Source organism: Homo sapiens, chromosome 5 (genome assembly GCF_000001405.40).
Source record: "Homo sapiens chromosome 5, GRCh38.p14 Primary Assembly".
Classification (NCBI taxonomy): Eukaryota; Metazoa; Chordata; class Mammalia; order Primates; family Hominidae; genus Homo; species Homo sapiens.
This window is the reverse complement of record NC_000005.10, coordinates 77,110,316-77,123,122: the sequence shown is the minus strand read 5'-3', so window position 1 is coordinate 77,123,122 and position 12,807 is coordinate 77,110,316. Positions and strand designations below refer to the sequence as shown.

The window sequence follows — 12,807 nt, the reverse complement described above, 5'->3', positions numbered from 1 at the left end:
TTTCTCTTCATGATAAACTAAGTAGTCTCAGGTATTTGGTTATAACAACAGAAAATGGACTTAGACAGGTGCTCTGCCTTATAAATCATAGCTACCTTGGTCTTCTTGAACTATAATCTCTGTTCAATTCAATGACAACACTTTGTATAATTTCATCTCCCTGAATCACAATCTTGGAGCTACCTGCAGGCAGAAAGCCTACACCAGGGTGTATTTTGCCCCTTTCGTTTCCTTTTCATGGGGATCACAATCTCGTTGGACTCTTACCCAATGTCTTAAAATAGTTTTTTTCCTACATTTTGTTTAGTTTTCTAGTTGCTTACTTTCAAAATGTAATTGCAGGCTGGCTTACTCCTTCATGATTGAAAGCAGAAGTTTTTGAAAAGGATTTTTAGTGTCAGCTCAGGCTCAGGTAGAACGACCTGTTGGTAATGACACTGTCCTCCAAAATATTGTATATATGTGCTAAAACAATAGCTGATACATGGTGTTATGTTCCCAGTGTCTAGCAACATTGGTCCAGGAAACATGAGGTAGAAGTAGGATTGCCCCCCTCACCATCACTTCTCATGATCCACTTAAAAGTGTTGTGCATTTCCCATCAAATGAGCCTAGGTTCTGCTGAATTAATTGTCCCACTTTCAGGTGGGTGAATGTACGCACTAGCAGAAATGATAGCGCTTCCATTCACCTTAAAGTGTGATTATTGTTTTTGAATTTTGGGTTCCTCATGGCAGTAGACCAGCAAGAAAAAAGAGGTGTTCCTATGCTGAAAAGAGTAATCGACTCTGATTACCATGAAGAGCTAAGGCTGCTGTTACATTATGTGTGCAGGAAGGACTGTGTCTAGGACATAGAAGATTCACAGGGACATCTATTGATGATTCCATGACTGGTGATGGTGGATGGGCAATCGCAGTGATCATGACTTTACAAGGTCAACTAAAGGCTCAGACCCCTCAGAGGTAAAGTTTTGAGTCAGCCATCAGGAAAGCAACCTACATCAGCCAAATAATTGGCTAAGGTTAAGGGAAATCTAGAGCAAATGGTGGAAAATGGAGATGACAAGTACTATTTATGGATTTGGAACCTGTTGCATCAGCAGGGAATGTAACTTGTTCTATTCACCTTCCTGTATTTAGTGTTTGTAGGATTTGGAGCTAGCCACTCTCTAGAAGAAGACTCTGGGCAGACTGGACTTAATGCAGAGCACAAAAGTCCTAAGAAGTGCAAAGGTGAAACGTAATGGAAATCTGTTGTGGTTTCCAAACATGTTCTCAACTTCTTTGATGTTCCTTCCTTCAAAAAGTGAAGCTAGGCTGGAAGCGGTAGCTCACACCTGTAATCCTAGCATTCTGGGAGGCCGAGGCGGGTGGATCACGAGGTCAGGAGTTCAAGACCAGCCTGGCCAATATGGTGAAACCCCGTCTCTACTAAAAATACAAAAATTAGCTGGGCGTGGTGGCGCACGCCTGTAGTCCCAGCTACTCGGGAGGCTGAGGCAGAAGAATTGCTTGAACCCGGGAGGCGGAGGTTGCAGTGAGCCAAGATTGTGCCACTGCACTCCAGCCTGGGCAACAGAGCGAGACTCTGTCTCAAAAAAAAAAAAAAAAGGAAGCCTAATTCCCTTCTCCTTGAGTGTGAAATGTACCTAGTGATTCACTTCTAAATAATAAAAGGTGGTGGAAGTGACAGCGGGTGATTTCCAAAACCAGGTCATAAAAGACATTGTGACTTTTTCCTCCCCCCATAATCACTCACTCTGGGGGATGCCATGTGCCATGTTACAAGGACACTCAGCAGACCTACTGTGAGGCCCATGTGGCAGGGACACTGGAGCCTCCTGCCAAGGGCCATGTAATGCACCACCTTGCAAGTGGATCTTTCAGCCCCAATCAAGTTTTCCGATGAATGCAGCCTTGGCTTGAAATATTGAATATAATGTCATGGCAGACCCTGAGCTAGAACCAGCCAGCTAAGTGACTCCTGAATTCCTGACCCACAGGAATTGTGGAGAATAGCTGTTCGTTTGTTGTAAGACACTAAGTTTGGAGGGTAATCTGTTAAGCAGCAATGAGTAACTAACACAATACTTCTGGAGCACTTTCCATCCTCTTGTTTGACTCTTGGTTCTGCATAGGCTTTGACCAGCTACACACAGGTGCAATCTGAAGCATGCCACATCAGCCCATGCATGCTGTGTACTCTAGCTCCCTACCCTGGGAATTCTCTAAGGTGCAGGGCACCTGCAAGAGGGCTTTAAGCACTGACACAAGGAGAAAGAAGCCAACAGATAAATGTTTTCCCTTCCACCACCCAGGTGTTAGGTTCTGAAGTAGATTTCAGAAAACTCCTCAACGGTCCTGACAGGCTTGTACAACAGTTGCTCAGTTGTAGCCAATGTGATCATGTGTTTTTGTTTTTACCTCACTTTTTATTATAAAAATGTTCAAGCATACAGAGAAGTTGAAAGAATGCTACAGTCAAAACCCATATATCCCTATCTAGATTGTACAACTAATATCTTATTCTATTTCTTTTATCATACGTATATCCATTTATCTATTATTCTATCCATCTACTAATCTATTTTATTTTTAATGCATTTCAAAGTACTTTTCAGATAACAGTATAATTCACCCTTAACACTTCAGCATGCATATCATTAACTAAACTTCAGTATTCATTTATGATGTCTTTCTTTTAAGGCAAAATTTATATTCAATAAAATGAACACTTGTAAGTGTACCATTCAGTAAGTTTTGAAAAGTACATTGACATGTGTAACCCAAACTCCTTTGAAGATGTAGAGGAACATTCCCTCATGCCTGCTCTCTGTCAACTCCTACTTGTACGCCCACATCTGCACAGATCACTATTTTGATTTTTCTTCATTGCAGATTAGTTCTGCCTATTCTAGAACTTTAAATAGGAAAATACCATATTATTTTGCGTAAGGCTTTTTTCACCCAGCATGCTTTAATATTTACCCATATTATTATATCAATACTCTATTCCTTTTTATGGCTGGGCAATATTCCATTGCATGAACATACCACAGTTTTTTTATCCATTCTTCTGTTAATGGGCTGTTTCCAGTTTTTGTTTTGTTTTGTTTTGTTTAGAAACAAGGTCTTACTGTATCACCCAGGGTGGGTGATTATAGGTCACTGCAGCCTTGAACTCCTGGGCTCAAGTGATCCTCCCACCTCAGCCTCCTAAGTAGCTAGGACTACAGATGTGTGCCACCATGCCTGGCTAATGTCTTTATTTTTTGTGAAAACAGGGTCTTGCTATGTTCCCCAGGCTGGTCTCGAACTCCTGGCCTCAAGCGATCTTCCTATCTGAGGTTCTCAAAGTGCTAGGATTACAGGCATGAGCCACCGTGCCTGGCCTGTTTCCAGTTTCTGACTATAACACATAATGCTGCTTGCTGTGAACACTCTTTTTTTTTTTTTTTTTTTTTGAGACAGAGTCTTGCTCTGTCACCCAGGCTGGAGTGCAGTGGCGCGATCTCTGCTCACTGCAAGCTCCACCTCCTGGGTTCATGCCATTCTCCTGCCTCAGCCTCCCAAGTAGCTGAGACTACAGGCGCCTGCACCACGCCCAGCTAATTTTTTGTATTTTTAGTAGAGACGGGGTTTCACCATGTTAGCCAGGATGGTCTCGATCTCCTGACCTCGTGATCCGCCCGCCTCAGCCTCCCAAAGTGCTGGGATTACAGGCGTGAGCCACCACGCCAGGCCATGAACATTCTTAAACAAGTCTGTTTATATACAGATATTTTCATTTCTGCTGGGCAAATATCTAGGAATGAAATTGCTGGGTCATAGAAAGTGTGTGTTTAGTTTTTTAAGAAAGTGCCAGACCTTTCCAAAGTTGTACCAATTTACACCCCTACCAACAATTGATGAGAGCTCTGACTGTTCCACACCCTCACCAACATTTGTTGCTGCAGTCTTTTTAATGTAGCCATTCTAATAGGCATCTAGTAGGTATCTCGTGGTGGTTTTCATTTGAATTCTGGTGACTAGTAACACTGAGACCTTTCATGTGCTTGTTGGTCCTTCCTCTGTTGACAGTGCATGCTTGCAGTGGCTTTTCTTCCTCCCCTGCTTTACTCTCATTCCTTACTCCTGATCCCTAGTATCATTTTGCAAATAAACTACCTGTCTATGAGTTTTTGTTTTGGCTTAAGTTTAGGCATATCCAGGCTAAGATATATAGAAGCAGCTGGGTGAGCAAAGAAGGTATAACCCCACCCCTAACCTCATCCCCACCCCTGTGAAAAGGGCAAAGAGGATGCTTCTCTATTCTGGTGAAATTTCGCCCCTTATCGGTTAATAGGTGTGCTTCCACACAATGTCTGTGGGAGGGATCCAGAAAACTGCACCTCTGGCTGGGAATATTCTACACTGACCACATGCAGATACATTTTTATATCCTTTCCCATGAAAAAGAAACTTATGTCATTTAACTCCCTATTGTCATTGCAGTAAGAATCACTAAGATGGTCATTCACACCAAGTTCAAACATAAAGGGCACTGATCTGAGAAATAAGCAGAGAAATGGCTTAGAAAGAAAAATTACTCCTTCATACCTCACAGGTTTCATACAAGACCTAGGCTGGCCTCCATGTGGTGGGCACCATCTTTCCCTCCTCACCCAGAGTACTCTGAAGCACCTCATGACTCTCCAGCATCCAGGCCCAGAAGGATGAGGCTGAGAGAGAAGCTCCCCTCCTTCCACTTTCTCCTTCGGCCTGCCCTGTCCTCATGTTCGGCACCAGGATCTGTGTTTTCCTGCAACAACAACAACAACAATAAAACTTAAAATTTAGATGCTTCTAAACTTAGATACAAAACCAAAACCTTAGGCTAGGCGTGGTGGCTCACACCGGTAATCCCAGCACTTTGGGAGGCTGAGGCAGGAGGATCACTTTAGATCAGCAGTTTGAGACCAGCCTGGCCAACATGGTGAAACCCCATCTGTACTAAAAATAAAACAAATTTTTAAAAAATTAGCCGGGTGTGGTAGTGCATGCCTGTAGTCCCAGCTACTCAGGAGGCTGTGGCAGAAGAATTGCTTGAACCTGGGAGGCGGAGCTTTCAGTGAGCCGAGATTGCACCACTGCACTCCAGCCTAAGGGACAGAGCGAAACTCCGTCTCAAAAAACAACCACCACCACCAAAAAAACAAAAAACAAAAAGAACTACCACCTTAAAAAGATGCATTGAATTCACATTCAATAATGTGAATACACAGGCATTCAGTAACTATTGGTTGAAAAAAAATGAATGTATAAACGAATGGATGCATATTTCAATCGCAGTACAAGACAGTATGTGATTTATATGACTCCATTGCTCTTCCTGCTCTCAGGTCACCTTTTCTTACTTCCTGCCTCTGGCTCTGTCCACCCCTTTTGGCTGCTGGCTTCTGAATAAACATCTTCCAGATCATCACCAGCCTCGCTGTCTGGTATATAGTAAACAAGGATCTCCGGAACTGGTGGACCCAGGTTTCCTGCCAACACACAAAAGATTCCTAACCGTATTCCTCCCCCTAAACACCTCTCCACTCCTTACCCTGTCCCCCAGCACCCAGGAACCATACTATCAGGCAAGTGGTTGGGGTGACAGTGAGACCCTGTCTTCATGGTAAAGGTAAAGATGGAGTCCTATCCAAGTACCAGGCATTGTCAGTCTCAATCAGCAAGTTCACATAAAACCTAGGTTCCCTGTTTGTCTGACTTCCTCATCCTGAACATGACTGAATGCCAGGGGAAGTACACTTCTTCTCTCCGATTGAAAAAAAATGCATATATATAACAGAAACATCCATGAAAGGAAGCCTTTCTGTTTAATGTGGCTCTTGTTACCATTTCCAGAGACAGAGCGCTTGTCCTGAAAAACAGACTACCAGAACTTTTTGCCCCCTCTGCTCTCATTCCAACCTCTACCCGCCCCTTAGCAAGGCCTAGAGGGTTCAGAGGCAAACAATCTAGATGAAGGGTGATTTCTATAAGAGTTCAGAATCGTGGAAGAACTAAAGAGAATGGGGTGTGTGCCCCAAGCAGGGAAAGCTGAACAAAAGGCCAGAGGCAGAAATGAGCCAGGTGGAAACCGGGTGTAGAAGTAAAGCTGGACTGGCTGAGAGCCTGGGGGGAAAGGGCACTTACTCTGGCAGTGGTGGTGAGAGAAGAAATGCTTTTCTCAGGATTGTGATGGGGGAATTGAAGAGGGTTGGAGTGTCAGATATGTTACCTAGAGAAGAGTTCCATAAAGAAACACAAACAGTACAACTTTGGGGGTTTGCTCATGTTTGCATGTGACCTTGTTTATGTGGAAGATTAATACTATGTTCTTTTTTTCACTAGTATTTAGTAAAATCCTATTACTTTCTTAGTTTCTGTTTATGGAAAAATTGGGCTGTACAGGCTTACATTTGCTCTCAACTTGGAACTTTTAAGGAATATCAATTTTACTTTACTGTACAATATAGAGGCAGGTGAAAATTTCTAACAGTTTTAAGTTTGTTGTCTCTATTAAAACTGTGTCCTTAGAAATATAATTTGAGAGGCTGGGCGTGGTGGCTTACGCCTGTAATCCCAGCACTTTGGGAGGTCAAGGCGGGCGCATCACTTGAGGTCAGGAGTTCAAGACCAGACTGGACGACATGGTGAAACTCCATCTCTTTTGTATTTCTGTAAAAATACAAGAGTTAGCCGGGTGTGGTGGCACATGCTGGTAATTCCAGCTACTCGGGAGGCTGAGGCAGGAGAATTGTTTGAACCCGGGAGGTGGAGGTTGCGGTGAGCCGAGATTGTGCCACTGCACTCCAGCCTGGGTGAAAGAGTGAGACTCTGTCTCAAAAAAAAAAAAAAAAAAAAAAAAATATATATATATATATATATAGAAGAACTCGGTCTTCTCAGACTCTGAAGACTTTGGAAACTGCTATCTTCCTGGAAACAAAACCTATGAAAATCTGTGTCTTTGATTGTCTTACTTGGTAATTTGCCCAGGGAACAAGTTCGTCATTGCTGTATCTCTTTTTCTAAATAGCACAAGTTCTTGTGAGACCGTTCTATCGAATTAGAAGGGTATTATTGGCATATTTGTCTTCCTTTATATGCATTACAGTAAAATAAAAGCATGTCACTCTGCTAGGTTTCTTATTTTTCACTCTGCCCATAAACCTTCTTGAATGAAATTGTTCACGTTAATGAGAGATTATGGAATCATTAAGTTCTCAGATGGATACAATAGGCATTATCCCAAAGCTAAGAGAACAGGACACAATACTGTACCTCCAGCGTCAAGAGGGTCGTTGCTGTTGTCTTGTTTTGCTTTCAAATGTTAACAATGGCAACGGCCGACTCGTGGCTGTCACTTTTTCCCATGTTCCTTCTGCTGTGCCACCACCCCTTCACTCCCTCCATTTCTAATTCCACAAAGTAGATCATCCTCAGGTCCTTCAGGTTCTTTCTTTTACCTATTTGTGTATTTATTAAGCAAACGTTCAGAAAGTACCCACCATAAGTGATGTACTTCTACTCCCAGACTTTCTCATCTGAAAACTCCTATTCATTCTTTCCCTCAAACTTCCTTCTTATCAGCTTCTTCAATTGTGTCAAGTCCTTCAAGGCCTGGACCATATGTCCCCTCTGCCTTATATTCCTTTCTATTCTCCATCAGAAAGATGAAATGTTTCTTTATATTCCTAGTATGCTTTGTAGGGACCTCTGTTCTAGAAAATAACACACATTTATTCATCCATTGCAGTGGATTCCACACGTATTTATTAAGGCATTCTCCTAGGTCCCAAGAAGATAAAAAGAATAAGAAGATATAGTCCATTCCTCTCACTCCAGTTAAAGAAATGGGGGTAAACTAATATTCAAACAAATAATAGACACAGAATGATAATCATCAAATAAAACACAAAGATATGTTTTCCCATGTCTTTCACTCTCTTTCTCTTTATCACTACTTTGGAAGCTTTGTGAAAGCAGACATGGGGTATATTTCACATCCCTGCATCTGGCACATTTGGCCAATAAGGTGTCAGCAGGTATTTACTGAATGGCAGGATGAACAACTCTTTTTTTTTCTTTATATAATTGTTAAATATACTAGAGACTCTGAGACAATTTTAATGTTATTTAAGAGACTAAAAAACATTAATGAGTTATGTGCCTCTTCATTATTGCAATTCAGGTTATCTCTTGGGAAACTCAAACACAAGTAGTTAGTTACCTGTGCTAAAATGGTACCATTGTTGGTTATCAACTTGCATTTTAAAGCAATAAGTTAACAAAATTGCATTATGTTTATTGTTGTCATCAAAATATAACTGGCAACATTAATCTTCTAGAATTTAATTTCAATTGGATTTTATTTTTTTAACTTTCCTCTCGTCTATTATAGATTTTAAAATGTTTAAATCTTTTTTTTTAATATACTTTCGGTTCTAGCGTACATGTGCACAACGTGCAGGTTTGTTACATAGGTATACATGTGCCATGTTGATATGCTGCACCCATCAACTCATAATTTACATTAGGTATTTCTCCTAATGCTATCCCTCCCCCAGCCCCCCAACCCCTCAACAGGCCCTGGTGTGTGATGTTCCCTGCCCTGTGTCCATGTGTTCTCATTGTTCAACTCCCACCTATGAGTGAGAACATGCGGTGTTTGGTTTTCTGTCCTTGTGATAGTTTGCTGAGAATGATGGTTTCCAGCTTCATCCATGTCCCTGCAAAGGACATGAACTCATCCTTTTTTATGGCTGCATAGTATTCCATGGTGTATATGTGCCACATTTTCTTAATCCAATCTATCATTGATGGACATCAGGGTTGGTTCCAAGTCTTTGCTATTGTGAATAGTGCCACAATAAACATATGTGTGCATGTGTCTTCATAGTAGCATGATTTATAATCCTTTGGGTATATACCCAGTAATGGAATTGCTGGGTCAAATGGTATTTCTAGTTCTAGATCCTTAAGGAATCACCACACTGTCTTCCACAATGGTTGAACTAATTTACACTCCCACCAACAGTGTAAAAGCATTCCTATTTCTCCACATCCTCTCCAGCATCTGTTGTTTCCTGACTTTTTAATGGCCGCCATTCTAACTGGTGTGATGGTATCTCACTATGGTTTTGATTTGCATTTATCTGATGACCATGATGATGAGCGTTTTTTCATGTGTCTGTTGGCTGCATAAATGTCTTCTTTTGAGAAGTGTCTGTTCATATCCTTTGCCCATTTTTTGATGGGTTTCTTTGTTTTTCTCTTATAAATTTGTTTAAGTTCTTTGTAGATTCTGGATACTAGCCCTTTGGCAGATGGGTAGATTGCAAAAATTGTTTCCCATTCTGTAGGTTGCTTGTTCACTCTAATGATAGTTTCTTTTGCTGTGCAGAAGCTCTTTAGTTTAATTAGATTCCATTTGTCTATTTTGGCTTTTGTTGCCATTGCTTTTGGTGTTGTAGTCATGAAGTCTTTGCCCATGCCTACGTCCTAAATGGTATTGCCTAGGTTTTCTTCTAGGGTTTTTATGGTTTTAGGTCTTACATTAAGTCGTTAATCCATCTTGAGTTAACTTTTGTATACAGTGTAAGGAAGGGATCCAGTTTCACCTTTCTACATAAGGCTAGCCAGTTTTCCCAGCACCATTTATTAAACAGGGAATCCTTTCCCCATTGCTTGTTTTTGTCAGGTTTGTCAAAGGTCAGATGGTTGTAGATGTGTGGTGTTATTTCTGAGGCCTCTGTTCTGTTCCATTGGTCTATATATCTGTTTTGGTCCAAGTACCATGCTCTTTTGGTTACTGTAGCCTTGTAGTATAGTCAGGTAGCATGATGCCTCCAGGTTTGTTCTTTTTGCTTAGGATTGTCTTGGCAATGCAGGCTCTTTTTTGGTTCCATATGAACTTTAAAGTAGTTTTTTCCAATTCTGTGAAGAAAGTCAGTGGTGGTTTGATGGGGATAGCTAGCATTGAATCTATAAATTACCTTGGGCAGTATGGCCATTTTCATGATATTGATTCTTCCTATCCATGAGCATTGAATATTCTTCCATTTGTTTGTGTCCTCTTTTATTTCATTGAGCAGTGGTTTGTAGTTCTCCTTGAAGAAGTCCGTCACATCCTTTTTAAGTTGGATTCCTAGGTATTTTATTCTTTTGAAGCAATCGTGAATGGGAGGGCAGTCATGATTTGGCTCTCTGTTTGTCTATTATTGGTGTATAGGAATGCTTGTGATTTTTGCATATTGATTTTGTATCCTGAGACTTTGCTGAAGTTGCTTATCAGCTTAAGGAGATTTTGGGCTGAGATGATGGGGCTTTCTAAATATACAATCATGTCATCTGCAAACAGGGACAATTTGACTTCCTCTTTTCCAATTGAATACACTTTATTTCTTTCTCTTGCCTGATTGCCTTAGCCAGAACTTCCAAGACTATGTTGAATAGAAGTAGTGAGAGAGGGCATCCTTGTCTTGTTTTCAAAGAGAATGCTTCCAGTTTTTGCCCGTTCAGTATCATATTGGCTGTAGGTTTGTCACAAATAGCTCTTATTATTTTGAGATAGGTCAGAATGAACAACAACTGTTAAGTGGAGAAATAGAACAAAATAACTAGGTGCCCAGACAGACTTTCAACGAGATAATGGAAAGAGAAAACCAGTCTGCAATGTGTTTGTAAAAATGATGTCAAAAAGATTTGCTTAGCCACTCTTCAATCACAGTAAAATGTCTCTTGGTAATCAGATAATGTCCAAATGCTACGATATTTTGTCTTTCACTTCCCATTTTAACACAGCATTATTTAATTTTGGATCAACTATTATGTACCTCTTTTTGTACATTTTAAGGTGAGTATCACACTGAAGGTTAGATTGTAAACCTGTGCTGTCCAGTACAGTAGCCACTAGCCACTAAGCACTGGAAATGAGCCTACTTCCAATTATGATTCATTGTAAATATAAAATACGTGCTGGGTTTCAAATATTTGGTACAGAAAAATGTGAAGTATCATTTTTATATTGATAGCATGTTGAAATTATACTATTTTAACATATTACATTAAACAACATATAATTTAATTTTTTTTTAAATGGAAGTAATCAGTAAGTAGGAATGGGTGCAAAAGATTTACAGGAGATGAACAATCTGAACAGAGTCTCGAAGGATGAGTAGGATTTAGCTGGGTGGGAGAAAAGAGAAATAGCCTATTAGAGAGGACCCAGTCTGCAGACCTGAATTCCTTCCAATGACTCTCTTCTTAGCTGAAATTAACTTTTACTGTAGCATTGAAAAGATTAGGGACACTGCAATCAGGAGATTTACACTTAAAAGCCTTTCACCATTGAATAGTTTTGGACAAATCACTTAATAAATTGGGACTCCAATCATCATCTAAAAACAGGTATCAGAAAAATTCTACCTCACATGGATGTGGTCATACTTAAATCAGATAATATGTTAAAGAGCTTGTTGTAAAGCACCTTGAAATATACAATTCTCCCCTCTTCTCCAGTATTTCAGTATTGGCATGTCTTCCCAGTAATTTATTTCATAAGACCTGCTTTTTCCCTCAATTGCTTTCTGCAGTCAGGGAGCCCTGTGTATGTAAACACAATTTCATGTACTTGAAAATACCTCACCTCCATTTTGAATATGGATATCTTCCACAGATATCAGACTTTTCTAATTGACTTTTGGGGGCCATGGTATAGAGAAAATCATCCTGATTTTTCTGCCCAATGAATGGCAGCACCATCCATCCAGCCGAGTAAGCTAATACCTAGCAGTTATGTTTGGATCTCTCCCTCAATTTGTGAATAATCCCCAATCTGTGAATGAGCCCCATCTTCCCAAATACCTCTCATTTCTATTGCTGCCATCCAAGTCTAAGCTGTCATCTTCACCTGAACTATTGCCATAACTTCCTAGATGCAATTATATCATTGACTTTTACCCATCTCTCCACAAGCCATTCTTCATTCTGCAACCAAAGTGATTTTTTGACATTAGGGGAAAACATTGTTTCGTAGCATTAAGTACAATGTTACCTGTAAATATTTTGTAGATGCCCTTTCTCAAGTTGAGTCCTCTTCTATTCAAGATTGATTATAACATTTTATCATGAAGGGGTGTTGAATTTTGCCAAATTCTTTCGATATGGTGAATTGCAGGAACCCTGCCTGATATCTAACTACTAAAGGAAACTGGCTGAATAGCAGATAGGTTTGGAAGGATAGGGGAAAATGGTATAGTCTGAAATAACTGGATGCATCAATGGCCTAGTGGAAGGGGATCAGCTAGAGGCCATGCGGTAGTCTCTCTGGTTCCATGATTCAAAGGCAATTGGGTACACACTGCATTACTTGAAACTGCTGACTTCATCGCAGTCTGTGGTTGACAACTGGGACCTTTTCTCCAACTCTCAGAGCAGCATCATGGAATTCCTTTAGAAAGCTGCAGCTTGTATCTATTTGCTCTGCCTTGCTGTCCTGTGATATACAGCAATTATGACATCTCCAACATGAAATTGGGGATGCAGATTACCCACTATTCACTGGCAGCCCTTGTAATTAGCTATTAAGCTTCAGGTGCCAAACCTCCAGTGCAAATCTATTCAGAGGATAATTAATTAAACTTGACTTTCTCATTAGAAACCCATAGTTTTCCTAACCTTTCATTCAGGCCATGGATTCCATGTGATGAATGTCACCTTATAATTTGTCATATCAGTCATATCTATCTCACAGTACTTGATGCAACTTAAAGTG

General features: G+C 40.5%; 1 protein-coding gene and 1 long non-coding RNA gene across 11 annotated transcripts in view; both read right to left on the bottom strand.

The window, feature by feature from the left end:
- The window catches only part of PDE8B (phosphodiesterase 8B), a 341,542-nt gene that overhangs the window by 305,134 nt on the left and 23,601 nt on the right, over positions 1–12,807 (bottom strand). For both annotated transcript variants that reach the window (NM_001414622.1, NM_001414623.1), the window contains one exon: positions 4,602–4,803. The gene's annotated coding sequence lies outside the window, so the exon portion shown is untranslated. The remainder of the gene's footprint in view (positions 1–4,601; positions 4,804–12,807) is intronic.
- Positions 1–12,807, bottom strand: part of ZBED3-AS1 (ZBED3 antisense RNA 1) — a 62,587-nt gene that overhangs the window by 26,179 nt on the left and 23,601 nt on the right. For 6 of the 9 annotated variants that reach the window (NR_182763.1, NR_024398.2, NR_182766.1 and 3 more), the window contains one exon: positions 4,602–4,803. This is a non-coding gene — a long non-coding RNA (ZBED3 antisense RNA 1). Of the gene's footprint in view, positions 1–2,413; positions 4,804–12,807 lie in introns of those variants that run through there. The other 3 variants (NR_182765.1, NR_182764.1, NR_182768.1) reach the window with 1 other exon arrangement.